This window comes from Homo sapiens, chromosome 9 (assembly GCF_000001405.40).
Source record: "Homo sapiens chromosome 9, GRCh38.p14 Primary Assembly".
NCBI lineage: Eukaryota > Metazoa > Chordata > Mammalia > Primates > Hominidae > Homo > Homo sapiens.
The window spans coordinates 128,409,952-128,437,351 of NC_000009.12; the positions used below are offsets into that span (position 1 = coordinate 128,409,952).

At 54.9% G+C, this 27,400-nt stretch overlaps 1 protein-coding gene across 4 annotated transcripts, besides 3 other annotated features; it reads left to right on the forward strand.

Annotated features, from left to right (window-relative positions):
* Window positions 1,391–2,010: an enhancer, noted in NCBI's record as "H3K4me1 hESC enhancer chr9:131173621-131174240 (GRCh37/hg19 assembly coordinates)". NCBI's record gives its function as "activates a minimal SCP1, AML or CMV promoter by ChIP-STARR-seq in naive H9 embryonic stem cells {active_cell/tissue: H9 hESC(naive)}" and the evidence as "EXISTENCE:reporter gene assay evidence [ECO:0000049][PMID:30033119]".
* CERCAM (cerebral endothelial cell adhesion molecule) lies at window positions 9,209–27,400 on the forward strand. Of its 4 annotated transcripts, XM_047423450.1 has the most exons (14): window positions 10,906–11,123; window positions 11,253–11,560; window positions 12,917–13,027; window positions 13,195–13,312; window positions 14,187–14,321; window positions 14,459–14,663; window positions 18,351–18,470; window positions 18,806–18,882; window positions 18,979–19,085; window positions 21,220–21,352; window positions 24,151–24,278; window positions 24,459–24,662; window positions 25,702–25,954; window positions 26,898–27,400. In XM_047423450.1, the coding sequence occupies exons 3-13, from the start codon at window positions 12,954–12,956 to the stop codon at window positions 25,952–25,954; spliced, it is 1,554 nt and encodes a 517-aa protein (XP_047279406.1). In that variant the 5' UTR covers window positions 10,906–11,123; window positions 11,253–11,560; window positions 12,917–12,953; the 3' UTR covers window positions 26,898–27,400. The 4 variants fall into 4 exon arrangements, with proteins under 4 accessions (NP_001273689.1, XP_047279406.1, NP_057258.3 ...); NM_001286760.1 differs by lacking the exons at window positions 10,906–11,123; window positions 11,253–11,560 and adding an exon at window positions 9,209–9,327; NM_016174.5 differs by lacking the exon at window positions 11,253–11,560 and having other exon boundaries at window positions 26,898–27,396.
* Window positions 10,292–11,191: a silencer, noted in NCBI's record as "silent region_20339". NCBI's record gives its function as "represses an Ori minimal core promoter by ATAC-STARR-seq in GM12878 lymphoblastoid cells {active_cell/tissue: GM12878}" and the evidence as "EXISTENCE:reporter gene assay evidence [ECO:0000049][PMID:35858748]".
* Window positions 11,452–11,641: an enhancer, noted in NCBI's record as "active region_29081". NCBI's record gives its function as "activates an Ori minimal core promoter by ATAC-STARR-seq in GM12878 lymphoblastoid cells {active_cell/tissue: GM12878}" and the evidence as "EXISTENCE:reporter gene assay evidence [ECO:0000049][PMID:35858748]".

Below are 27,400 nucleotides of genomic sequence, written 5' to 3' on the forward strand. Positions count from 1 at the left end.
TGGGCTAATCACTTCATCTGCGTCATCTCATCCTTTCCATAACAAAATCAAAGATGCAGAGGCGTTTTTCCTGTCTCCATTTTGCAGCTTTGGAGACTGCTAGACTCTTGAGAGGTCCAGTCACTTGCCCAAAGCCAGGCAGTCTGGAGGCAGCAGAGCTGGGATTCTAGCCCAGGCCGACCGTAGCCACCAGGAGGAGTAATTCGCTAATAAATACTTGGAAAGAATCGAGCACAGAACCTGACACAGCTCCAGACTCAGAACTGGTGGTGTTTACTCCATGCATAGAGTGTCCCCATTCCACAGGTGGGGCGACTGAGGACAGGGAGAGAAAGCCTGGGGCAAAAAGCTCCAGGGAACTTAAACAGTAACACCAACAGCAGTTCCAGAGTCACCAGGGCTGGCCAGAGTGAGACAGGCAGACTTGGTTTCAAACCCCAAACCCCAACTCTGGATGAGCTTGGCAAGTGATTTATTTAGATTCTCCGTGCCTCAGTTTCAAGGTTTCCTCTTCTGTAAAATAAAAATATTCCCAACTGGCCAGGCATGGTGGCTCACACCTATAATCCCAGCATTTTGGGAGGCCAAGGCGGGCAGATCACTTGAGGTCAGGAGTTCAAAACCAGCCTGGTCAACATGGTGAAACCTCATCTCTACTAAAAATACAAAAATTAGCTGGGCCTGGTGGCACGTGCCTGTCATCCCAGCTACTTGGGAAACTGAGGCAGGAGAATTGCTTGAACCAGGGAGGTAGAGGTTGCACTGAGTTAAGATAGTACCACTGCACTCTAGCCTAGGCGGCAGAGCAAGAATCCATCTCAAAAAAAAATTAAAAAAAAAAGATTTCCTGACTTCACAGGGTTGTCGTGAAAATCAAGTTATATAATACATTTAAAGCACTTAGCAGGCTGGGCACGGTGGCTCATGCCTGTAATCTGAGCACTTTGGGAGGCCAAGGCAGGTGGATCACCTGAGGTCAGGAATTGGAGACCAGCCTGACCAACATGGTGAAACCCCATCTCTACTAAAAATACAAAAATCAACTGGGCATGGTGGCGGGTAATCCCAGATACTTGGGAGGCTGAGGCAGGAGAATCGCTTGAACCCAGGAGGCAGAGGCTGCAGTGAGCTGAGATCGAGCCATTGCACTCCAGCCTGGGCGACACAGTGAGACTCCATCGCCCACCGCAAAAAAAAGCACTTAGCAGATGCCTGGTACACAGCAAACGGTTAATGATAGCTATGATTATTATTCTGAATAAGGTTAACATTTATCCCTTTGAGCCTCCTGCTGGGTTCACCTGAGGACAAGGCTCTGTGGAGTGGGGCGGGGGTTAGGAGTTGTTGAGGGGGGTGGGGATAGCAAAACTTGGTCTTCTTGGGGTCCCTAGAAGTCCCGAGATGGGCTAGTTCTGTGGGTCAGGGGGAAGCAGAAGGTATCAGGGCTGAGAGAGGGAAGGGGCTGCCTGGGCCCAGAGGAGTTAACAGCTCCCAGGACCTGGCTCAACAGGGCTGCCACGCTGCAGCCACAGCAACGATTTTAGCGGAGGAGCCAGGACTGCTTCCTGATGGGCAAAACAGCTGGCTGCCCAGAGAAAACAGCTGGCCTGGTCCCAGCCTCCTGAGAACAGAGGCAGAGCCTCAGAGGAGGACAGCTGCACATCTGGGATCCTGGGAGAGGAGGGCATGGCCAAAAGGGAGAGAGAGGGTGGTCCGTGGAAGTGTGTGTGGGTGTTGGGTGGACCCCCAGAATGGGGGGAGCTGAGGGCAGATTCCTCGAGCAGAGACCAGGGTGCGCTAAGTCTAAGCAGAATGGGCAGAGATGCCTCCAGCTGGGCTTTGAGGGTGTCAGTCTTCCCTCAAATAGGAAAGATGAGGGGCAGGGGAGGATATTGGGGACAAGCCTCTGCTCAGCCCTGGGTCCTCTTGGAACCGGGCTTGGAGCCGGAGGTGGGGAGGGTGTCCAAGCTGAGCTCCTGGATTCCCATCTGCCGAACTGCACCCAGAACCAGGAGTGGGGTGCGGGCCCATCCTCTGGCCAGGATCCTGGGCTCCCTTGGCCACAAAGCAGGACAGGGGACCAGAGATCCCCCAACTCAGGAGACGTGAAGCTGGCAGCTGGTAAGAGCATGCAAGCATCCTCTCTGCTTTGGGTCCCCATTTCAAGCCTGTTTGACTGCCAGGCCATGAGGACTCCCAATCCGGGGGCCCTACCTGGGCCCTGGGGCACCCCCAGGCTGCCCCTACCCATTGGCAAGGAAGCAGCTCCTGGGACCTCAAATGAGGTGGGGCAGGGTACGCAGAGGGTTAATGGGGGTGTGGCCAGAGTCCACTGGACCAGAGCAGCCTACCCGGGTTCCTGACCCCCAACTCCCAGTGGCCTGATACCCCTAGTTTCTCTTTGACCCAAAGGGGCTCTTGTAGCCCACCTCCCTAACATCTAGGAGTAGGGGTTGGCCCCCAGTTTGAGTCTGCCAGCCTCAGCTCCCCTCTCCCTGGTGGAGCCATGCTACAAAGTCTTTGCCAGGGGCAGGCAGGCCTTGGAACTGAGGCTCCCAGCGGGACGAAGGCGCTGGGGAGGGGGACGGTTCTTGCAGGGTCTCTACTCCAGGAAGCCAGAGTCAAGCCTGAGGCGCTGGCGCCATCACCTGGATTTGGTCAGAACTACAATGGCTGAAGTGGGTGAGGATGCTGCAGGCAGAAACCGGCAGCCCCACCAGGTGTCAACCCCATAGGATCCGGATCGTGCTCAGCCAGATGGGTCCGAGCAATCATTTTTTTCCAGGCATGACCCAGCTAATGAGGTCTTAGGCTCCACAGGACAGCACTTTTTTTTTTTTTTTTTTTTTTGAGACGGAATTTTGCTCTTGTTGCCCAGGCTGGAGTGCAATGGCGAGATCTCGGCATACAGCAACCTCTGTCTCCCAGGTTCAAGCGATTCTCCTGCCTCAGCCTCCCGAGTAGCTGGGATTACAGACACCCGCCATCACGCCCGGCTAATTTTGTATTTTTTAGTAGAGACAGAGTTTCTCCATGTTGGCCAGGCTGGTCCCAACCTCAGGTGATCCACCCGCCCCAGCATCCCAAAGTGCTGGAATTACAGGCGTGAGCCACCGCACCCGGGCTTTTTTTTTTTTTTTTTTTTGATGGAGTCTTGCTCTGTAGCCCAGGCTGGAGTGCAGTGGTGCGATCTTGGCTCACTGCAACCTCCGCCTGCTGGTTCCCAGTCCAAGAAATTCTCCTGCCTCAGCCTCCCAGGTAGCTGGGATTAGAGGCACGTGCCATCATGTCCAGCTAATTTTTGTATTTTTAGTAGGGATTACATGTCTGTAATCCCTGCACTTTGGGAGGCCGAGGTGGGTGGATCACGAGGTCAGAAGTTCAAGACCAGCCTGGCCAAGATGGTGAAACCCTGTCTCTAGTAAAAATACAAAAATTAGCCGGGCATGGTGGCGAGCGCCTGTAATCCCAACTACTCGGGAGGCTGAGGCAGGAGAATCCCTTGAACCTGGGAGGCGGAGGTTGCAGTGAGCCAAGACCATGCCGTTGCACTCCAGCCTGAGTGACAGAGTGGGACTACATCTCAAAAAAAAAAAAAAGAAAAGAAGAGAAAAGAAAAAAAGAAAATCCAAAACCCTGCCATATGGCTGGGCGCAGTGGCTCATGCCTGTAATCCCAGCACTTTGGGAGGCTGAGGTGGGCGGATCACCTGAGGTCAGGAATTTGAGACCAGGGTGGTCAACATTGGCAAAAGCCCGTCTCTACTAAAAATACAAAAGTTAGTCGGGCGTGGTGGCAGTTGCCTGTAATCCCAGCTGCTCGGGAGGCTGAGGCAGGAGAATCGCTTGAACCCAGGAGGCAGAGGTTGCAGTGAGCCGAGATCGCACCATTGCACTCCAGCCCGGGTGACAGAGCGAGACTCCTTCTCAAACACAAAACCAAAACCAAAACCCTGCCATAGTTTCAAGGCACTGGGTGACCTGGCCGTTCCTACCTATTTAACCTCACGTCTTACCATATCCTCTTGCTCACTTTGCTCCAATCACACTGGCCGCCTTTCGTGTTCCCACCCCGGGCCTTTGCTCTACCTGTTCCTGCATCTGGAACACTCTTCCCTCAGATCTCCCCTTGATTAACTCTTCCTTTTGTTCCAAAATGTCTTCCCTGAACCCTCTGTCTGAATGTTGCTCGACTCCCAACTACTCTCAGTTCTCTCTCTCTCTTTTTATTTATTTATTATTTTTGAGCCAGTGTCTGCTCTGTTGCCCCGGCTGGAGTGCAGTGGTGCAATCTCAGCTCACTGCAACCTCCGCTTGCCGGGCTCAAGTGATTCTCCCACCTCAACCTCCTGAGTAGCTGGGACTACAGGTGTGCACCACCATGCTCGGCTGATTTTTGTACTTTTTGTAGAGGCAGGGTTTCACCATGTTGGCCAGGCTGGTCTCGAACTCCTGAGCTCAAGCAATATGCCTGGCTTGGCTTCCCAAAGTGCTGGGATTACAGGTGTGAGCCACTGCCTTCAGCCTACTCTCAGTTCTTGATCATGTGTTTCAATTTGTTCATGGCATTTACCATTCCTTGAAATGATCTCTTCATTGATTGTTTTGCTTGTTTCCTGTTTCTTCTCACCAAAATGTAAGGAGCCTAGGAGCAGAGACTGCTTCTGTTTTGTGCACCTCTGTATTCCCAGCCCCTAGCGTTCCACCTGCACATAGCATGTGCTCGGGAAATAGTTGCTGAATGAATGGGATCATACAGAATGACCTGTAGGGATATGTCTCCCAGACATGGCATCAGGGAAATCTTTGCAGAGAGAGGAAGTTTTGGCTGAGACTATAGGACCCACAGTATAGAAGCTGCCCAGGAAGGGAAAGACCAATCCAGGCAGCGGGACCAAGGGAAAAAATAGAAAAGGATGTGGGAAGGTCCAAAAGCATGGAGTATTCTGGAAACTGTAAATTGTGCAATTTGGCTGGAGCATAAGGTCGGGTCAGGGGGAGGGCTTGCAGACCAGAGGAGGTGGAGAAGATGCAGGCAGGCCATGAAGGGCCTTGTTGCCCCTTGAGGGGTTGAGCTCTGTGCTCAGCGGTGGCAGCTCTGAAGGGAGTTATTGTCAGGCATTTTAGAAAGGCGTGCTGGCCGGACTCAGTAGCTCACACCCGTAATCCCAGCACTTTGGGAGGCCAAGGTGGGAGGATCACTTAAGTCTAGGAGTTCAAGACCAGCCTGGGCAGCATAGTGAGATCCCCGTCTATACAAAGTAAGTAAATAAATAAATATTAGGTATGCACCTGTAGTCCCAACTACTCAGGAGGCTGAGACGGGAGGATGGCTTGAGTCCAGGAGTTCGAGGCTGCAGTGAGCAATGATCATGCTACTGCACTCCAGCCTGGATACAGGTATGAGGAGGAAGTGTCCACTCGGGGGAGTGGTTGGAGGACTCTGGTCTCTGCAGGATCCACCTTGATGTGTGTCAAGCAGAGAATGGAAGGAAGTGAAGAGACAGGGAACAAGGTTCACATTCACCATTCAAGAGGCTTGGAGGAGTTATGGCCACAGCTAGAGGCCACAGGGGTGCCTTGGTGCTTTCTTATCTTTGGTTGTGGGAGATCCAAGTCCTTTGATATGTGGAAGGAAGGGCCTAGAAGAGAGGGAGGATGGGGATCCAGGAAGGGAGAGGGGACCAGGTGTAACCACCCAATGGGTTCACCTTGCTTGCTGCCTAGACAGAACCGATTTATCAAGACAGGGGAGGCTGGGCGCGGTGGCTCACGCCTGTAATCCCAGCACTTTGGGAGGCCGAGGCGGGCGGATCACGAGGTCAGGAGATCGAGACGACGGTGAAACCCCGTCTCTACTAATAATACAAAAAGTTAGCCGGGCGTAGTGGCGGGCGCCTGTAGTCCCAGCTACTCATGAGGCTGAGGCAGGAGAATGGTGTGAACCCGGGAGGCGGAGCTTGCAGTGAGCCGAGATCACGCCACTGCACTCCAGCCTGGGTGACAGAGCGAGACTCCGTCTCAAAAAAAAAAAAAAAAAAAAAAAAGACAGGGGAATTACAAAGGAGAAAGAGTAATTCACACAGAGCCGGCTGTGCGGGAGACCGGAGTTTTATTATTACTTAAATCGGTTCTCCCCAGTCATGTGGGGATCAGAGTTCTTAAATATAATTTGGCAGGTAGGGGCTTGGAAAGTGGAAAATGCTGATTGGTCAGATTGGAGATGGAATCATAGGAGGTGGAAGTTAGGTATTCTTAATGTCTTCTGTTCCTGGGTGCGATGGTAGAACTGGTTGGGCCAGATTACTGGTCTGGCTGGTGTCAGCTGATCCATCGGGTGCAGGGTCTGCAGAATATCTCAAGCACTGACTTTAGGTTTTACAATAGTGATGTTACCCCAGGAGCAATTTGGGGAGGACCCAAAGGCTGCATGACCCCTAAATTGTAATTTCTAATCTTATAGCTACTTTGCCAGTCCTGCAAAGGCAGACTGGACCCCAGGCAAGAAGAAGGGTCTTTTTGGGAAAGGGCTGTTATAAATTTTGTTTCAGAGTCAAACCATGAACTGAATTCCTTCCCAAAGTTAGTTCAGCCTACGCCCAGGAGTGAACAAGGACAGCTTAAGGGTTAGAAGCAAGACAGAATCAGTTAGGTCTGATTTGTTCCGCTGTCATAATTTCCTGAGTTACAAATTTGCAAAGGCGGTTTCACAGGGGCCGTTCTGTTGAGGAGGGGTGTGCCTCCTGAGGCTGGCTGAGGGCAGAGGTGGAAGGTTTGGAGGCTAGAAATGAGAGTTCCCAGGTAATGGCTTCTATTTTCTCCAAAAAGTAGTAGAGAGATCTTTGCTGGGGGAGAGGGGCGGTGGAATGGGGGCTTGAGAAGACTGGAGGCTTTGTTTTGTTTTGTTTTGTTTTGTTTTGTTGAGACAGAATCTCACTCTGTCACCCAGGCTGTAGTGCAGTGGCGTGATCTCAGGTCACTGCAACTCCCACCTCCTAGGTTCAAGTGATTCTTCTGCCTCAGAATCCCAAGTGGCTGGGGCTACAGGCATGTGCCACCACACCTGGCTAATTTTTTTTTGTATTATTACTATTTTTTTTTTTTTGAGACGGAGTTTCGCCTTTGTTGCCCAGGCTGGAATGCAATGGCGCGATCTCGGCTCACTGCAACCTCTGCCCCCCTGGGTTCAAGTGATTCTCCTGCCTCAGCCTCCTGAGTAGCTGGGATTACAGACACACGCCACCATGCCCAGCTAATTTTGTGTTTTTAGTACAGACGGGGTTTCTTCATGTTGGTCAGGCTGGTCTTGAGCTGCCGACCTCAGGTGATCCACTTGCCTCAGCCTCCCAAAGTGCTGGGATTACAGGTGTGAGCCACTGCCCCGGCCTTTTTTTGTATTTTTAATAGAGACAGGGTTTCACTGTGTTTCCTAGGCTGGTCTCGAACTCCTGGCCTCAAGTGATCTGCCCACCTCAGCCTCCCGAAGTCCTGGGATTACAGGCATGAGCCACCGTGCCTCAATGACTAGAAGCATTTGAAATGCCCTGAGGGGAGTGGGCAGGGGACACAGGGAAACAGGATTCTTGGGCTGGGTGAGAGCCCAAGTGAGGGTAGAGACCCTGAGTTTGCAGTTGCCCCAACCTGCCCCAAAACAAGATGGCTATTGGGTTTTCCAGGCAGGTGTGATGGGAAAACTCTGAGGCAAGAAAGTTAGTAACAGGCTGGACTCCTGGGGAGGGTGGGAGGACTTGGGGGAAGAGGAGGACTTGAGGCCAGGGAAGAATCAGGAAGCCCCCTGTCTTAGTCCGTTTGGGCTGCTATAACAACATATCTTAGACTGCATAATGTATAAACAACAGAAATTTATCAGCCGGGTGCAGTGGCTCACACCTGTAATCCCAGCATTTTGGGAGGCTGAGGCAGCTGGATCACCTGAGGTCAGGAATTCGAGACCAGCCTGACCAACGTAGTGAAAACCCATCTCTACTAAAAATACAAAAAATTAGCCAAGCATAGTGGTGTGTGGCTGTAATCCCAGCTACTCAGGAGACTGAAGCAGGAGAATTGCTTGAACCACCCCCCAACCCCTGGCCAAAAAAAAAAAAGAAATTTATTGCTAATAGTTCTGGGGGGTTGGGAGGTCCAAGGTCAAGGCGTCAGCAGATTTGGTGTCTGGTAAGGGCCCGTTCCTCATACCTGGGGCCTTCTAGCTGTGTCTTCATGTGGCAGAAGGGGTTGACAAGCTCCCCAGGCCTCTTTTTTCTTTTTGAGACGGAGTCTCGCTCTGTTGCCAGGCTAGAGTACAGTGGCATGATCTTGGCTCACTGCAACCTCTGCCTCCTGGGTTCAAGCGATTCTCTTGCCTCAGCCTCCTGAGTAGCTGGGACTACAGGCACGCGACACCACACCCAGCTGATTTTTGTATTTTTAGTAAAGATGGGGTTTCACTATGTTGGCCAGGATGGTCTTGATCTCTTGACCTCATGATCCACCCCCCTCAGCCTCCCAAAGTGTTGGGATTACAGGCGTGAGCCACCGCATCCGGCCCCCAGGCCTCTTTTATAAGGGCACTAGCCGCATTCAGGTGGGGCAGCCCACCCAATCAACTCCCAAAGGCCCCGCCTGTTTTTTTTTTTGTTTTTTGTTTTTTGTTTTTTTTTTTTTGAGACAGAAGTCTCGCTCCGTCGCCCAGGCTGGAGTGCAGTGGCGCGATCTCGGCTCGCTACAAGCTCCGCCTCCTGGGTTCACGCCATTCTCCTGCCTCAGCCTCCTGAGTAGCTGGGACTACAGGCGCCCGCCACCACGCCCGGCTATTTTTTTCTATTTTTTAGTAGAGACAGGGTTTCGCCGTGTTAGCCAGGATGGTCTTGATCTCCTGACCTCGTGATCCGCCCGCCTCCGCCTCCCAAAGTGCTGGGATTACAAGCGCGAGCCACCGCGCCGTGCCGGCCCCGCTTCTTAATACCCTGACATTAACATTAGGTTTTCAACATGTGAGTTTTGAGGGTCACGGACATTCTGACCATAGCACCCTTGGACCAATAGGACAGGCAGAGGCTGTGGAATGACTCTGGGGTGGGTGAAGTAGGGAACACTGCTTTGCTTTAGAAAGGGAATCCCTCTTCTGGGGCTGGGAGTGGCTTCCCGCAGGGGACTACCGTGCAAGGGAGAAGAAATCTGGCATCTCTCCAGAATGCTTCTCATTGCAGGGCCGCTGGCCTAGAAATGGCCTCAAATGGAAGCTGCCACCCGATCCTGGTGGAGGCTTTGAGCTAGGCTAGAGATCAGGACTCCAGGGTTCAGTGCGCACGTGCTGCCCCTGCACTAGGTAAGTTCCTTCCTCTATGGACCTTCAGCCCTCCCCTTGCAGTGGAGATAGTGTGCACAGCCCTGGCTCCCCTCCCTGACCCTGGGAAAAGGCTGAAGGGAGACCCCGTGCTGTTCCTAGGAAAGGAGATCTTCCCAGCGGTGGGAGGGTGAAGGGGGAGCCTCCCTCTCCTCCAGTCCTGTCTTCCCAGCCCCAGGGCGGAGCTCTTCCTGTGTGTAAGCCTCCACGCGGGAAAAGCTGCCAGTGCATTCATTCTCTCGAGGAATCCCTGCAAACCCTCCCAGATGGGTGGCGTTATCAGCCCGATTTTACCCGAGAGGCTCCTGAGGGAAAGGGACCTGTCTGAGGTTGGTGACAGACACCCAGTTCGATCCCATCTGTGGTGCCGCCAGGCCGCTCCCTTTTCTGCTCCTCTCCCGAGAGGCTGCAGAGTTCTTTCCCTCCCAGCAGGGTCCTAAGGACCCCGGCGGTGCTCCAGGGGAGCCAACATCCCCTGCTTTGGAGGACGGACGGGTCGGGTCGCAGTGAGCAGCTCCGTGGTGTCCCCTAGTTCTACACTCAGACCAAGAGAGGGCTGTGAGGGCTGTGCTCTTTTTTTTTTTTTCTTTTTGAGACGGAGTCTCGGTCTGTCATCCAGGCTGTAGTGCAGTGGCGCGATCTCGGCTCACTGCAACCTCCGCCTCCCGGGTTCAAGCGATTCTCCTGCCTCAGCCTCCCAAGTAGCTGGGAGTACAGGCACCCGCCACGACGCCCGGCTAATTTTTGTATTTTTAGTACAGATGGGATTTCACCATCTTGGCCAGGCTGGTCTTGAACTGATCTCAGGTGATCCTCCCGCCTCGGTCTCCCAAAGTGCCGGGATTACAGGCGTGAGCTACCACGCCCGGCCTGGCTGTGCTCTCTTAAAGGGCCGAAGCAATGCGGGTGCTGGCGACCGACGCAAGGAGGTGACGCACAGGGGACTTAAGGAGCGGACCGCCGCGGGAGGACGCGCCCAGCTCAGGGGGACTCCCTCTGCGCCCCCCACGCTGGGTCTCCGGCCCACGCGTGGCCCGGCTGGTCTGCGGAGCTAGCGCCAGGGCCGCCAGAGGGCGCCCGGGGCGGAGGATGGGGCGGGAGCCGGGGAAGCCCGGGAGGTGGTGGCCGAGTGGGCGCCGCCCCTCTGGGTCTGCGGCTCAGGTCGAAGAGTCGGCTGCGTGGGCCGGGGAATCCGGATTCCGGGGGTTCAACGCCCAGGGGTTCCATGAGCCCCTACTGTTCTCGGACGCCCGGCCGGCCCCGACGCACTCGTCCTAGCACCCCTCCCCTGTCCGGTCCTCCGGCCCCTCCGCCGTCGCCCCTCCGGGGTCCAGCCGGGCGGGGCTGCTCCAGGGTCGCGGCTGGCGCGGGTCCCCGGGCCCTGGCCCTCCGGTGCCCCGGGCCAAGGAGAGAAAACTTGAGCATCCACGCACAGGGGTGGGGAGCAGGATCCCACTCTGAGGGTGCACTGCCCCGCCCTCTCCGGGTCTGCCTCGGCCCCGCCCGGGCCCCAGGCCCCGCCCCCTCCCCTCGGCCGGCCCGAGAGCTCCGGGGGCCGCTGCAGCCGCCCAAGCGCCCGCCATGCGCGCTGCCCGCGCCGCGCCGCTGCTCCAGCTGCTGCTCCTGCTGGGGCCGTGGCTGGAGGCTGCGGGCGTTGCGGAGTCGCCGCTGCCCGCCGTGGTCCTTGCCATCCTGGCCCGCAATGCCGAACACTCGCTGCCCCACTACCTGGGCGCTCTGGAGCGGCTGGACTACCCCCGGGCCAGGATGGCCCTCTGGTGAGAGACCCGGGCATTGGCACCGAGTGGGCACCTAACCCCCAGCTTCGCAGATGGCCCCCGCCCCCGGCGGCCCTGTCTGCTCGCTCCCTGCCCAGACACCACCTAGACAGGCCCCTCCCCTCACAGACGGCCCTGCCAGCCCGAGCCGCCAGAGAGGACCCCGAGCCCCCTGCTGGGAGACGACAGACCTCTGAGGCCACAGGCCGACGCGGGACACCCACCCCTCCTTCTGGTCCCCTACTCCTTCCTCTTGGGGCCTTCCCTGGGTGTAGGTTGGGCCCAGCCAGCCCTTTTCACCCCAGCCTTCAGGGCCCAGCTCAACCCCAGTGGGACCTGTGGTTGGCTGGATTTGAAGAGGAGCAGACAGGAACCTCTGAAGTCCACTGGGGCCCAACGTGGCAGGGATCGACCACGCTGGAGGCTTCCGGGCACAGGTTGGGGGTGCCATCAGCACTGGGCTCCGGGCTGTGCAGGGGAGTCAGACCGGCCCCCCCACCGCCCCCGTGCTGGGGCCAGCTCTCTTGGTAGATCTTGGTAGAGGGGCGGGATCCTGTCAGCCAAGGGCAGTCCCCCTTCCTGGAGCCTCTCCCCTCTGGCATCTCTGTACCCCCAGGGCACTGGGATCGAAGGCCACAACCCCTGGTCTGTAGACACCAGAACAGGGAGGAGTCCCTGGCTGAGGTTGGGGGTAAACTGAGAAAAATGACAAGCCACCCTCTTCAACACACCACAGTTGGGCTGGGGGGGTGGAGCCCTGGCCTGGGGAGGCCGCCCACAATTACCACAGTTTGGGAGTTTGTTAGTTCCCACCCCTGTAAGACTTGACACGTAGTCTTCATTTCTGGGGAATTGGCTTAAAGGGGCAGCATCACCCAAAACCTGGGCACTTGGCTAAACCCCCACCTCTGTTATGGGGGCCCCTTCCCCAGGAGAGGGGAGGCTGTGCCCCATGACAGCAGAGCTTGGACCCATCTGCATTCTTAGGGACGCTTAGAGCATGGTTTGGTCCTTATTACAACCTGGGGGTGGAGGAAAGCAGCAGCTCTTCTGTCTAGTCCCCATTCAGAGAGGGACAGGGGCTGGCCTGTGGTCACACAGCCACAGGTCACATAGGTAGGTATCTGCCCACCTAACGAAGGTAACCAGGGAATGCACCAGGTGTGATCCTTAAAGTCGAGGTACTTTTCATCTTTCAAAATGCATTCGTTGGCCAGGTGTGGTGGCTCACGCCTGTAATTTCAGCACTTTGGGAGGCCGAAGTGGGCAGATCACCTGAGGTGAGGAGTTCAAGACCAGCCTGGCTAACATGGTGAAACCCCATCTCTACTAAACAAACAAAAATTAGCCGGGCATGGTGGTGCACACCTGTAATCCCAGGTACTCAGGAGGCTGAGGCAGGAGAATCACTTGAACCCGGGAGGCGGAGGTTGCAGTGAGTCGAGATCATACCACTGCACTACAGCCTGGGCGACAGAGCAAGATTCCATCTCAAAAAAAATGCATTATTCTTCTCTTATCTTTGTCCATGACATAAGCAGGACAGCTTAAGTTATAGAGGGAGGACGTGAAGCCCAGAGAAAGATGGGACTTGCCTGAGGTCACACAGCAGGTCACAGAACTGTGGTGGGGACCTGGCTGTGCTGCCTCCAGCCTCTCTGCTGTAGCACACCTACCCTTCACTGTTCCAAGGAGAGCTCGACCTCAAAGGTGTTAGTGCTTTGGGGTCAAGGCTGCCTTGGGGTTCAATCCTGTGGCTGTGCCCCCTCAGCCTTTTTTCTTCCCGTCCCCAGGTGTGCCACGGACCACAATGTGGACAACACCACAGAGATGCTGCAGGAGTGGCTGGCGGCTGTGGGCGATGACTATGCTGCTGTGGTCTGGAGGCCTGAGGGCGAGCCCAGGTGGTGATCTGAGGGGAAGGGTGCTGGGGAAGATGGAGAACAGCTGCAGCCCAGAGAGGAAAAGGGACAGCCCAGAGCCACAGCCTCCAAGCCAGGGCTCTGTCCACTGCCCTGCAGAGAGGGAGGGGCATGTACCCCATGGGAACATCTCACCTCTATCCCCTCAGGTTCTACCCAGATGAAGAGGGTCCCAAGCACTGGACCAAAGAAAGGCACCAGTTTCTGATGGAGCTGAAGCAGGAAGCCCTCACCTTTGCCAGGAACTGGGGGGCCGACTATATCCTGGTGAGGAAGTCTGGCTAGAATCGGGCTTCTGAAAGGCGGTAGTATCCGTCCCTGATAGAAATCTGGGTATAGGCTGGGTGCAGTGGCTCACGCCTATAATCCTAGCACTTTGGGAGGCCAAGGCAGGTGGATCACCTGAGGTCAGAAGTTCGAGACCAGCCTGGCCAACATGGTGATACCCCATCTCTACTAAAAATACAATAATTAGCTGGGCGTGGTCGCAGGCGCCTGTAATTCCAGCTGCTTGGGAGGCTGAGGCATGAGAATGGCATGAACCTGGGAGGTAGAGGTTGCACTGAGCTGAAATCATGCCACTGCATTCCAGCCTGGGTGACAAGAGTGAAACTCAGTCTCAAAAAAAAAAAAAAAAGAAAAAGAAATCTGAATGTGACTGACCCACCCGAAGGCTGGATCCTTCGGCAGGCTATCTGGGCCAGAGCCCAGACCAGATGTTCAGATTGGATCCCTATGTTAAAAGCTCAGACTAGGTACTAAGCCTGGACCCCTCAGATAGATCCCGTTGTATACACTTTACTGAGCCTCGATTTCTGGGCTAGAGCCCAGGGTATAAATTGAGCCTGGATCTCTGAACTAGAGCTCAGAGTAGGTGTTTGGATCCATTTTCTAAGCCAGATCCCAGATAAAGGTCTTAGATCAGTAACTCAGGTATAATCTCTGGACCCAGTCCCTGAGTCAGTGCCCCAGACTAGAGCCTTGGTCCAGAAACAGATGTACTGAGTTTGTGAGACCTCTGTAAGAGCATTCCCACTGGATCCTAGGAGCCACGCTGGGTCTCTGGCAGGACCACTCAGTGAACTCCTTGGGGGGCTGCAGCCCAGGCAGGGCTGGAGCCTGTGACGTCCCCTCCTCAAAGTTTGCAGACACAGACAACATTCTGACCAACAATCAGACTCTGCGGCTTCTCATGGGGCAGGGGCTTCCAGTGGTGGCCCCAATGCTGGACTCCCAGACCTACTACTCCAACTTCTGGTGTGGGATCACCCCCCAGGTGAGGCCGGGATGGGGGCCTTGGGTGGACTGAGGTCCTGGAAGGAGGGACGTGGAGAGCAGAGAGCCTGAGGCCTTGGGGTCTGTGGGCAGGGGCAGGGGAGCCCTCTCACAGCCCAAAGCATCCCTTTTCCCCAGGGCTACTACCGCCGCACAGCCGAGTACTTCCCCACCAAGAACCGCCAGCGCCGGGGCTGCTTCCGTGTCCCCATGGTCCACTCCACCTTCCTTGCATCCCTGCGGGCTGAAGGGGCAGACCAGCTTGCTTTCTACCCGCCACATCCCAACTACACTTGGCCTTTCGACGACATCATCGTCTTCGCCTATGCCTGCCAGGCTGCTGGTGAGGACCAGCCCTCCTTTAGCATTCCTTGGAGGCCTCTGCACATTTGCACATGCTATTCCAGCTGCTTACCATGCCCTTCCCTACTCTGCATTTCATCCTGTTAACCCATGAGTTACAACTTTGGGTCATGAGTTTTCTTTTCTCTCTCTTTTTTTTTTTTTTTGGTGTGATCTCGGCTCACTGCAAACTCTGCCTCCCGGGTTCAAATGATTTCCTGCCTCAGCTTCCCGAGTAGCTGGGATTACAGGCACCCGCCACCACACCCAGCTAATTTTTGTATTTTTAGTAGAGACGGGGTTTTGCCATGTTGGTCAGGCTGGTCTCAAAACTCCTGAGCTCAGGTGATCCACCCGCCTCGGCCTCCCAAAGTACTGGCATTACAGGTGTGAGCCACCCGCCCAGCCAGTGGTTACTTTTAAGATGAAAGGTTTTTTGTTGTTGTTGTTGTTGTTGTTTTTGGGACAGAGTCTCACTCTGTCGCCCAGGCTGGAGTGCAGTGGCCGATCTTGGCTCACTGCAAGCTCCGCCTCCCGGGTTCAAGCCATTCTCCTGCCTCAGCCTCCCGAGTAGCTGGGACTACAGGCGCCCACCACCACGCCCGGCTAATTTTTGTATTTGTAGTAGAGATGGGGTTTCACCGTGTTAACCAGGATGGTCTCGATCTCCTGACCTCGTGATCTGCCCGCCTCGGCCTCCCAAAGTGCTGGGATTACAGGCGTGAGCCACCGCGCCCAGCCAAGATGAAAGTTACTAGAAAGAGTTTGGGTATGGCCAGGCAAGGTGACTCAGACCCTAATCTCAAAGTCTTGGGAAGCTGAGGCTGGAGGGGAAATCACTTGAGCTCAGGAGTTCGAGACCAGCCTGGACAACATAGCAAGACCTCATCTCTTTTCTGCCCTTTTTTTTTTTTTGAGATGGAGTTTTGCTCTTGTTGCCCAGGCTGGAGTGCAATGGCGTGATCTTGGCTCACTGCAACCTCTGCCTTCCGGGTTCAAGCAGTTCTCCTGCCTCAGCCTCCCGAGTAGCTGGGATTACAGGCATGCACTGCCACGCCTGGGTAATTTTGTGTTTTTAGTAGAGACGGGGTTTCTCCGTGTTGGTCAGCCTCGTCTCGAACTCCTGACCTCAGGTGATCTGCCCGCCTCAGCCTCCCAAAGTGCTGAGATTACAGGCATGGGCCACTGAGCCCAGCCCAGCCTTTTTTTTTTTTTTTTTTTTTTGAGACGGAGTCTTGCTCTGTGGCTCCCAGGCTAGAGTGCAGTGGCACAATCTCAGCTCACTACAGTGTTGACCTCCCCCACCTCAGCCTCCCACGTAGCTGGGACCACAGGTGCACACCACCATGCCCAGCTAATTTTTGTATTTTTTGTAGAGATGGGGTTTTGCCGTGTTGCCCAGGCTGGTCTTGAACTCCTGGGCTCAAGTGATCTGCCCCCGCAGCCTCCCAAAGTGCTACAATTACAGGCGTGAGCCACCGCCCCCGGCTGCGAGATCCCATCTCTACAAAAAAATTTAAAAATTAACTTGGCGTGTTGGCCCACGCCTGTAGTCCCAGCTTCCTGGGAGGCTGAGGCAGGAGGATCGCTTGAGCCCAGGAGGTAGAGACTGCAGTAAACTGTGATCATGCCACTGTACTCCACCTTGGGCAACACAAGATGAGACCCTGTCTGAAAAAAAACAGAGAGTAAGAAAGTGTTTGGGTTTGGATGGAATAAATCCAGTCCTGGCCAGGTGCGGTGGCTCACGCCTGTAATCTAAGCACTTTGGGAGGCCGAGGCAGGTGGATCACGAGGTCAAGAGATTGAGACCATCTTAAGACGGTGAAACCCCGTCTCTACTAAAAATACGAAAAATTAGCCAGGCATGGTGGCGGGTGCCTATAGTCCCAGCTACTCGGGAGGCTGAGGCAGGAGAATGGTGTGAACGCAGGAGGCAGAGCTTGCAGTGAGCCGAGATCGCGCCACTGCACTCCAGCCTGGGCGACAGAGCGAGACTCTGTCTTAAAAAAAAAAAAAAATCCAGTCCTGAGGATGAGAGGGAGGGGTGGAGACACTGATGTTGGAGTGAAGCTCTTGAGAAGGCTGCAGAGAATATGTAATTCCGACCCTGAAGACTATCTGGTGCATGGAGAAGAACTTTGCAGGTGCTCAGGGTAAATTAGAGGTGACGATTTAATCAAGTAATCAGTGGCAGCCGGTAAGGAGGATGTTGTAATTCTTTGTTTTGTGCTGGAGAAGTCTGCAGTGTGCAGACATGCAAGAAGAAATCTTACCAAGTGCAAAAAGTGAGTGAAGGTGAAACAATTGGAGGGGAAAACACAAGAGGAAACAAAAGCATTCTGTTATTTTTAATTTGCTAGCCCTACTTCAAGCGACAGCCGTTGTTAATTGGTCAATGGTTTGAAGGAATTCAGTCTCTAACAGCCAGATACTACATCCCGGCTCTGGGCCAGGCTCTGTGCTCAATGCTGGGAATAGGGTTAGCTTTTATTTGTTTTTTGTTTGTTTTTTTTTAAGACAGAGCTTTGTTCTGTCGCCTAGGCTGGAGTGCAGTGGCGCGATTTTGGCTCACTGCAACCTCTGCCTCCCGGGTTCAAGTGATTCTCCTGCCTCAGCCTCCTAAGTAGATGGGATTACGGGCGGCCACCACCACAGCCGGTTAATTTTTGTATTTTTAGTAGAGATGGGGTTTCACCATGTTGGCCAGGCTGGTCTTGAACTCCTGACCTCAAATGATCTGCCTGCCTGGGCTTCCCAAAGTGCTGGGATTACAGGCGTGAGCTACTGTGCCCCGCCTAGGTTAGCTTTTTAATTGGCACTGTGTGCCTGCCCCTGAGGATAATTATAATAAAGGTAACAAATATTGGCCGGGTGCAGTGGCTCACGCCTGTAATCCCAGCACTTTGGATGGCCTAGGGTGGGTGGATCACTTCAGGCCAGGAGTTCGAGACCATCCTGGCCAACATGGCGAAACTCCGTCTCTACTAAAAATACAAAAATTAGCTGGATGTGGTGGTGCACACCTGTATTCCCAGCTACTCAGGAGGCTGAGGCAGGAGAATTGCTCAAACCTGGGAGACAGAGGTTGTAATGAGCCAAGATCGCACCATTGCACTCCAGCCTCGGTGACAGAGCAGGACTCCATCTCAAAAAAAAAAAAAAGGTAACAAATATTGAAGCCGGGGGAAGGCCACTCTGGCTGCCAGGTGAAAGACATCGTGGAGAGGAGCCCCAGAGGGTGTGAGGTGAAGTGGAGGGGTGTGGGGAAAAGGCGATGGCCCTTGGATCCAGGTGGGGTGGTGGGGATCAGGAGAGGTGGGGGGATTTAGGAGACAGAGCAGTGGGGCTCACTGGCACCCTGTGGCTGTGATGGGTAGGAGTTTGTCTGCTCCTGCCTCACCTTGATGCCCTGAGGGCAGGGACTCAGTCTTGCTCACTGCCGTAACCCTGGCTCCCAGCGGGTGCCCTGGACAGGTATATTGAATGAATGAACCATTTCAGTAGAAAGACCCCTTAGATATTGTGTGAGCCAAGCCCTTTCTCCCTCTGGTCCCACAGGTGGGGAAACTGAGTCCCAGAGAAGACTGACATGTTGGGTCACTGGCAGTGCTGGGCCTAGGACCTTTCAGCTGGGTTCTGAGAGCCCCACCCTCCACTGCAGCTCTCACTCAGCCTGTCTCTGCAGGGGTCTCCGTCCACGTGTGCAATGAGCACCGTTATGGGTACATGAATGTGCCGGTGAAATCCCACCAGGGGCTGGAAGACGAGAGGGTCAACTTCATCCACCTGATCTTAGAAGCACTAGGTGAGGGCTGGGGAACTGTTCCACCCACCTGCTGCCGGGGCTCCCTGCCTCCCCACGGTGCCCCTTTCCCTAGGCCCTGGACGGAGCGGGCATTGGCCTTGGGGTTCCAGCTTTGTCCCTAACTCGTTCCATGACTCTGAGAAAGTCCCTTTCCCTGTTGGGCCTTAGTCTAGCATCCCTACAATGGGGGCAGGTGGATCCTGTGATCTCTGAGGTCCCGTCCTGTGGGGTGTTCTGCCAAAGGGGGCAGGAATGAGGCTGGGGGCTAGGACTTCAGGGTGACTGCTAACAGGAGTCAGTAGGGACTCGTGCTTGGGGTGTGCTTCCCTTTGCAGTGGACGGCCCCCGCATGCAGGCCTCAGCTCATGTGACTCGGCCCTCTAAGAGGCCCAGCAAGATAGGGTTTGACGAGGTAAGTCCCCCAGCCTGTGGGCTCGCTGTTAGGAGGTGGATGGGCCCTCCTCTTCCGCTCCCTTGCACTTACCGCCCACCCCCCTGCCTCCTCCAGGTCTTTGTCATCAGCCTGGCTCGCAGGCCTGACCGTCGGGAACGCATGCTCGCCTCGCTCTGGGAGATGGAGATCTCTGGGAGGGTGGTGGACGCTGTGGATGGCTGGTGAGCCTGCCTGGTGGGGGGGGCCCTGTGCGCTTGGGGAAGCAGTGTGGTCCATCTCCTAGCCCGCTAGGACTGGGAAAAGCAGACAGGTTGAATGAGTTTCCTGTCCCATGTAGTATCCAAATAGGGTCTGAGTAATATCCTCTCAGGGAGTTCCGGAGCAGACACACGTGGGAGAAGATGCCCTCCTGCTGCTCACCAGAGGAGGAGAGCACAGTGGCTGAGGCTCCAGGGCCTGGGTTCCAGCTCTACCAGTTACTGAATGTGTGACCTCCAGCCAGCTACCCCCATCTCTCAGCCCGTTTGTATAAACAGCAGATAACTGTGCCCTTCTCTTAGGGTTTTGTGAGTTTAGTGAAGTTAGCCAGGGCCGGGCACATAGTTTCCAAAGGCTTAGGTGTCTCCCTTATTATTACTCTCCATCCTGGACTTGAGCTACTGATGCGTGGGGATTAGGAAAGGCCAGCCATGTTCCCCCGAGGAACCCAGAGGCTAGGCTTCTCCAGCCACCAGGGGTCCTATGGCCCCATATGTCGGCTGCCATTTGCTTCAAGTACTCAGCTCTTTTTATTTTTTTTTTAGAGACAGCGTCTCCGTCTGTTGCCCTCCGTCTGTTGCCCAGGCTGGAGTGCGGTGCCACAAACATGGCTCACTGCTGCCTTAAACTCCTGGGCTCAAGTAATCCTCCCACCTCAGCCTTCTGAGTAACTGGGACTATAGGTGTGCACTATCACATCCAGCTAATTAAAAAGAATTTTTTTTTTTTTTTGAGGCAGAGTCTCGCTCTGTCGCCCAGGCCTGGAGTGCAGTGGCGCAATCTTGGCTCACTGCAACATCCGCCTCCCAGGTTTTAAGTGATTCTCCTCCCTCACCTCCCAAGTAGCTGTGATTACAGGCTTGCATCACCACACCCGGATTAAAAAAAATGTTTTGTTTTGTTTTTTTTTCATAGAGATAGGGTCTCACTCTGTTGCCTAGGCTGGTCTTGAACTCCTGGCCTCAAGTGACCGTCCTGCCTCAGCCTCCTGAATAACGGACTACAGGCATGCACCACCATGTCCACCTAATGAAAAAAAATTTTTGACTGGGCACGGTGGCTCATGCCTGTAATCCCAGCACTCTGGGAGGTTATGGATGGATCACCTGAGGTCAGGAGTTCGAGACCAGCCTGGCCAACCAACATGGTGAAACCCCCTCTCTACTAAAAGTACAAAAATTAGCCAGGTGTGGTAGTGGGTGCCTGTAATCTCAGCTACTTGGGAGGCTGAGTCAGGAGAACTGCTGGAACCCAGGAGGCAGAGGTTGCAGTGAGCCGAGATTGTGCCATTGCACTCCAGCCTGGGCCGACAACAGTGAGACTCTGTCTCAAAAAAAATTTTTTTTTTGAGAGATGGGGTTTTTCTCTGTTGCCAAGGCTGGTCTTGAACTCCTGGCCTCAAGCAATCCTCCCACCTTGGCCTCCCAAAGCACTGGGATTACAGGTGTGAGACACCACATCCCCCGAGGTCTCTTGACCATAGGCTATCCATCCTTTGCTTGGGCCTCTGCCCAAGAAGTATCTATCATGTTCCCACATTCTTCCTAGAGTGCCTCCCCCTCAGGCAGCCCCCTACCATCCCACCCTTTCCTCAAGGGTCACCCCTGTCTTATCATATTAGGACATGTCCTAATAGTTATCCTCTCAGAACTCCCGAGGTGGCTGGGCGTGGTGGCTCATGCCTGTAATCCCAGCACTTTGGGAGGCTGAGGTGGGTGGATCACCTGAGGTCAGGAGTTCGAGACCAGCCTGGCCAACATGGTGAAACCCCATCTCTACTAAAAAAAAAAAAAAAACATTAGCTGGGCACCTGTAATCTCAGCTACTTGTGAGGCTGAGGCAGGAAAATCACTTGAACCTGGGAGGTAGAGGTTTCAGTGAGCTGAGATGGTGCCACTGCACTCCAGCCTGGGCAACAGGGGCTCCAGTTCCCCAGGTCCAGTCCCTTGACAGCTTCAGGTCACACAAAGGAGTTACAAGGCAGAAACCTTCTTCAAACCCGACTCCAGTGTGACTGTCCCCAACATGCACAGGCCTGGCCCCTCTGGAGGGGTCTCTGGCAGGCACCCCTCACCCCGCCACACCTGTGTCCCTCAGGATGCTCAACAGCAGTGCCATCAGGAACCTCGGCGTAGACCTGCTCCCGGGCTACCAGGACCCTTACTCGGGCCGCACTCTGACCAAGGGCGAGGTGGGCTGCTTCCTCAGCCATTACTCCATCTGGGAAGAGGTGAGGGTGCCTGCTTCCTCCATCCACAGCCTTCGGGGAGAACGGGGCCAGTTTGTTCTATTCACTGCTCTGTGAACGAGTGAGTGAATGAAGACATTCATCAAAACCTGGCCAGCAGCTTTCAATCTCCTCTGTGTTCAACACCCCAGTGGGCACCACTAAGCGGTGCTTGTTTTCATTCTGCAGTCTCTCTTGAGCATCTACTATGTGCTAGGAGATATTCTGCTCTGAGAACACAGAGGAGGACAGGAACAATGCATGTCTGCTCCTTCCTGCAATAAAGGGATCCCCCTGGGGCTCAGGGACCAGAGCGGGATTATGGAAATCAAAACCAAGCTTGCAGTGGAGGGGAGAGGTATGGGCCACTTTGAGAGGTGCCTCGTGTGGGAGGGGGTCAGAATGGACCTCACCATTGAGGGGCCGGGAGAAGAGGCTTCTAGGCAGAAGAGAACAGTGGGTGCCAAGGCCCTGAGGCAGGAAGGTGTTTAGGAGCAGAAAGAAGGAAGCCTGGGGCTTAGCATGTGCTCAGTACTTGGCCAAGAAGCCTCGGCCCAGGGGCTGGGAGTGTGAGCGCAGGAAAGAGGTTGCTGGACACGGCAGGAGAGAATGGGAACTGGGCCCTCCAAGGGCAGCCCTTCCAGGAGATGGGACATGGATTCCTTGTTTGTGTTCTCTGCTATAGCCAAATATATGTGCACGTGTATGTGAGCATTATGGGTTTTTGTTTTGTTTTGTTTTCTGAGATGGAGTATTGCTCTGTCACCCAGACTGGAGTGCAGTGGCACAATCTTGGCTCATTGCAACCTCTGCCTCCTGGGTTGAAGCGGTTCTCCTGTCTCAGCCTCCCAAGTATCTGGGATTACAGGCATGTGCCACCACACCTGGCTAATTTTTCTATTTTTAGTAGACAGGGGGTTTCGCCATATTGGTCAGGCTGGTCTCGAACTTCCAACCTCAGGTGATCTGCCCACCTCGGCCTCCCAAAGTGCTGGAATTACAGGCTTGAGTCACCATGCCCAGCCTATGTTGGCTTTTTTACCGTCCCTGAACAAATTGGAGGATGACATGGTTCACTACTTTTTTTTTTTTTTTTTTTTTTGAGACAGGGTATTGCTCTGGCACCCAGGCGGGAGTGCAGTGGCGTGATCTTGGCTCACTGCAGCCTGGACCTCCCGGGCTCAAGCAATTATCCCACCTCAGCACCCCCGAGGAGCTGAAACTACAGGCGCGCACCACCACACCCAGCTAAATTTTGTATTTTTTGTAGAGACAGGGTTTCGCCATGTTGGCCAGGCTGATCTCAAACTCCTGAGCTCAAGTGATTCCACCCACCTCAGCCTCCAAAAGTGCTGGAATTACAGGCATGAGCCACCGCTCCTGGCTTCACTACTTTCTGAGCTGATTTCCTTTTCACAGAAGTTATCAAAAGTAGTTTTCCAAAAGTTATTCTAAAGTAACTTTTCCAAAAGTTATCAAAAGTACTTTTTCTTTTGGATATTCGGGGCTGGGGTCTTCCCACCCCCCACCCAGCCCAGCTTCCTTTAGAAAATAGCAGGAGGCCAGGCCAGGTGCGGTGGCTCACGCCTGTAATCCCAGCTGAGGCAGACAGATCACGAGGTCAGGAGTTCAAGACCAGCCTGGCCAACGTGGTGAAACCCCGTCTCTACTAAAAATACAAAAATTAGCCCGGCGTTGGCCGGGCGCCGTGGCTCACGCCTGTAATCCCAGCACTTTGGGAGGCCGAGGCGGGTGGATCACGAGGTCAGGAGATCGAGACCATCCTGGCTAACACGGTGAAACCCTGTCTCTACTAAAAATACAAAAAAATTAGCCAGGCGTGGTGGCGGCGCCTGTAGTCCCAGCTACTCGGGAGGCTGAGGCAGGAGAATGGCGTGAACCCAGGAGGCGGAGCATGCAGTGAGCCGAGATTGTGCCACTGCACTCCAGCCCGGGCGACAGAGCAAAACTCCGTCTCAAAAAAAAAAAAAAAAAAAAAAATTAGCCCGGTGTGGTGGTGGGCACCTGTAATCCCAGCTACTTGGGAGGCTGAGGCAGGAGAATCACTTGAACCCGGGAGGCAGAGGTTGCAGTGAGCCAAGACCATCTTTTGATGGGAACTGCAAGCCACTTCCCCGCCCCCAGAGAGTTGGGCTTCTGGGCCCAGCCACCATCTGTCATGCTTGCACTCAGGCAGCTGGAGGAGTGGGAGGGGAGATGGCTCCTGGTCTTGGCCATGGCTGCTTTGGCCTCCACCGTTCCTGCTCCTCTTCCATGCAGCCCCCTGACTTGGGGGGCCATTTCACTCCAGTCTGGGCAACAAGAGTGAAACTTCGTCTCAAAAAAAAAGGAAAATTGCAGGAGGCCAAAGTGACAAGCTGGGCCCTGGTGTTCAGCAGATGCGGGTTCATATCCCAGCTCTGCCACTTCCTGGCTGTGTGTCCTTGGACAGGCAGTTTCCCATCCCTGCATGTCCACCTCCTTCCTGCGATTGAGGATCATCATCTCCTGCCTCCTGAGGGCCCCTGCAGATACGCAGTGGCACAGCCCTGGGGCACAGTAGCACTCAGGGAATGTAGCAAGGGCCACGGTTACCATCATGATTCTATCTGGAGATCCTCAAATGCCAGAGCGAGGTTGGGATTTCCGGTCCCAGGCAGTGGGGCCCCCAGCAGGCTTTGGGGCAACTGCATGATGTGGCCAGGCCAACTGAGGCCAGGCAGAGGCTGTGAGCTTCAGCGTGGAGGGAGGGGGGTTGTTTAACTCCGAAGAGCCATCTCCCACCCCATTGTATGCCACAGGTGGTTGCCAGGGGCCTGGCCCGGGTCCTGGTGTTTGAGGATGACGTGCGCTTTGAGAGCAACTTCAGGGGGCGGCTGGAGCGGCTGATGGAGGATGTGGAGGCAGAGAAACTGTCTTGGGACCTGATGTAGGCAGCCTGCACCCTCAGGGACAAGGGGGCAGGGTGGGCCTCCGGAGTCTGCCTTTTCCTGCTTGGGACCCTGGCCGGCCCATCCCCTGAGAGCCTGGCCCTGTAGGAGCGGGTGTGGGAGGGTCCCATGACACCCAGGACCTAAGTGACTCCTGGGCCCCTTGGTGTCACTTACAGCTACCTCGGACGGAAGCAGGTGAACCCTGAGAAGGAGACGGCCGTGGAGGGGCTGCCGGGCCTGGTGGTGGCTGGGTACTCCTACTGGACGCTGGCCTATGCCCTGCGTCTGGCGGGTGCCCGCAAGCTGCTGGCCTCACAGCCTCTGCGCCGCATGCTGCCCGTGGACGAGTTCCTGCCCATCATGTTCGACCAGCACCCCAAGTGAGGCTCTGATGGGGGCCGGGCATGGCAGGGCAGAGGCGTCCCCTCCAGGAACTCACCTCAGTCAGCAGGAAGTCCCCTCACCTGGCAGATGGGGAGACTGGGACTGGCAAGGCCAAGCCACTTGGCCCAGGTCACCAAGGAGTGGCTCAGCCTAGCCTTAGAGTCAGTCCATTCTCGGTGTGTACTTTGCACAGTGCATGCAGGCTTTTTTTTGAAATGGAGTCTTGCTCTGTTGCCCAGGCTAGAATGCAGTGGCATGATTTTGACTCACTGCACCTTCTGCCTCCCAGGTTCAAGCAATTCTGCTGCCTCAGCCTCCTGAGTAGCTGGGATTACAGGGAAGTGCCACCACACCCTGCTAATTTTTATTTATTTATTTATTTATTTATTTATTTTTGAGATGGAGTTTTGCACTGTCACCCAGTGCGGTGCAGTGGCGCAATCTTGGCTCACTGCAACCTCCGCCTCCCAGGTTCAACTGATTTTCCTGCCTCAGCCTCCTGAGTAGCTGGGATTACAGGTGCCTGCCACCACACCAAGCTAACTTTTTTGTATTTTTAGTAGAGACAGGGTTTCTCCATGTTGGCCAGGCTGGTGTCGAACTCCTTGACCTCAAGTGATCTGCCTGCCTGGGCCTCCCAAAGTGCCGGGATTACAGGCATGAGCCACTGTACCCAGCCTCAATTTTTGTGTTTTTAGTAGAGATGGGGTTTTGCCATGTTGGTCAGGCTAGTCTTGAACTCCCGACTTCAGGTGATCCGCCCGTCTCGGCTTCCCAAAGTGCTGGGATTATAGGCATGAGCCACTGCGCTCGGCTGCATGCAGTTTTTAATCAAATGACTTCCTTGTTCTCAGCCTCTGTTTCCTCATCTGGAAAATGGAGGTAGTAGAAGTCCCACTGCTCAGGGCCGCTGTGAGGACTAGATGGCGGGGAGTGAGGTGCTTTGGGCAGGCAAGGTGCCTGGCTCCGGGCAGGCATGTGTCCGGGGAGTAGGGGCCCGCCTCAATCCCCCTGAGCTATCCTCTCACCTTACAGCGAGCAGTACAAGGCACACTTCTGGCCACGGGACCTGGTGGCCTTCTCCGCCCAGCCCCTGCTCGCTGCCCCTACCCACTATGCCGGGGACGCCGAGTGGCTCAGTGACACGGAGACATCCTCTCCATGGGATGATGACAGCGGCCGCCTCATCAGCTGGAGCGGCTCCCAAAAGACCCTGCGCAGCCCCCGCCTGGACCTGACTGGCAGCAGCGGGCACAGCCTCCAACCCCAGCCCCGAGATGAGCTCTAGGTGAGGCCAGGGCGGGAAGAGGCCCCAGCCCCGTAGACCTTGGCTTGCTCTCCCCTTTGATGGCATAACTGTGTCTGGGGCTGTTTTCCCCTTCTCAGCCTTCTCTCTCCCTCTCCATCTCTAGCTTTGCCTTTATGTTTGTTGTTGTTGTTGTTTGTTTGTTTTTTTTAGACGGAGTCTCGCTCTGTCGCCCAGGCTGGAGTGCAGTGGCGTGATTTTGGCTCACTGCAACCTCTGCCTCTCGGGCTCAAGAGATTCTCCTGCCTCAGCCTCCCCAGTAACTGGGATTACAGGCACCCACCACAAGGCCTGGCTAATTTTTCTATTTTTATTTTTATTTATTTATTTATTTTGAGATGGAGTCTTGCTCTTTTGCCCAGGCTGGAGTGCAGTGGCATGATCTCAGCTCACTGCAACCTCTGCCTCCCGCGTCCCGGATTCAAGCGATTCTCCTGTCTCAGCCTCCCGAGTAGTTGGGACTACAGGCGCCCACCACCACGTCCGGCTAAATTTTGTATTTTTAGTAGAGACAGGGTTTCACCATGTTGGCCAGGCTGGTCTTGAACTCCTGACCTGAGGTGATCTGCCCGCCTCAGCTTCCCAATGTGCTGGGATTACAGGCGTGAGCCACCGCGCCTGGCCTTTTGTATTTTTAGTAGAGACAGGGTGTCATCATGTTGGCCAGGCTGGTTTTCAACTCCTGACCTCAAATGATCCAGCCGTCTCGGTCTCCCAAAGTGCTGGGGATTACAGGCGTGAGCCACTGTGCCTGGCCTCTGTGTCTGTCTATAATTGTACCTTCAGCTGTCTCCGCATCCCTCTCTAGCTTTTTCCCTCTCTGTCTGTCTCTGCCCCTGTTTTCCTATATCTGTCAGTGTCTGTCTGTCTCTGATTCTGTCTGACTCTAATTCTCTTTCTCTTCCTGCTCCTCCTGTCCCACCAGGTCCAGGTGATGACTGCAAAGCAGTGTCCAGGAGCAGGCCACTACTGCCCAGAGAGCAGAGGAGGAGGTTGTTGGCAGGGACTGCAGATCCTGTCAGACCTGGCCACCACCTTGGGCATGGCCACTCTGCCCTCTGGACCTGTCTTTCATCGGGAGAAACCACTCAGAGATGGATCCCATTCCCTAAAGGTCTCACAGCAAAGGAGCAGGACTCCCAGGCCCCTGTACCCTGCCTGGCCTGATTCAGGGCCTTGTGGCCCCCAGCTTCTGTTTCAAGCTGGGCAGACCCCAGGATCCCTTCCCTCCCTAAGGACTCAGCTGAGGGGCCCCTCTGCCCCCTTCTACCTCCACCTCAGCACCCTCCCCCAGCTTGATGTTTGGGTCTCCCCAGCACCCTCCTCCCTGGCCGGTGCAAAGTACAGGGAGGTAAAGCAGGACCCTTGCAGACATGTTGCCCAGCACACAGTAGGCCCTCAATAAAAGCCATTTGCACTTTAAATATA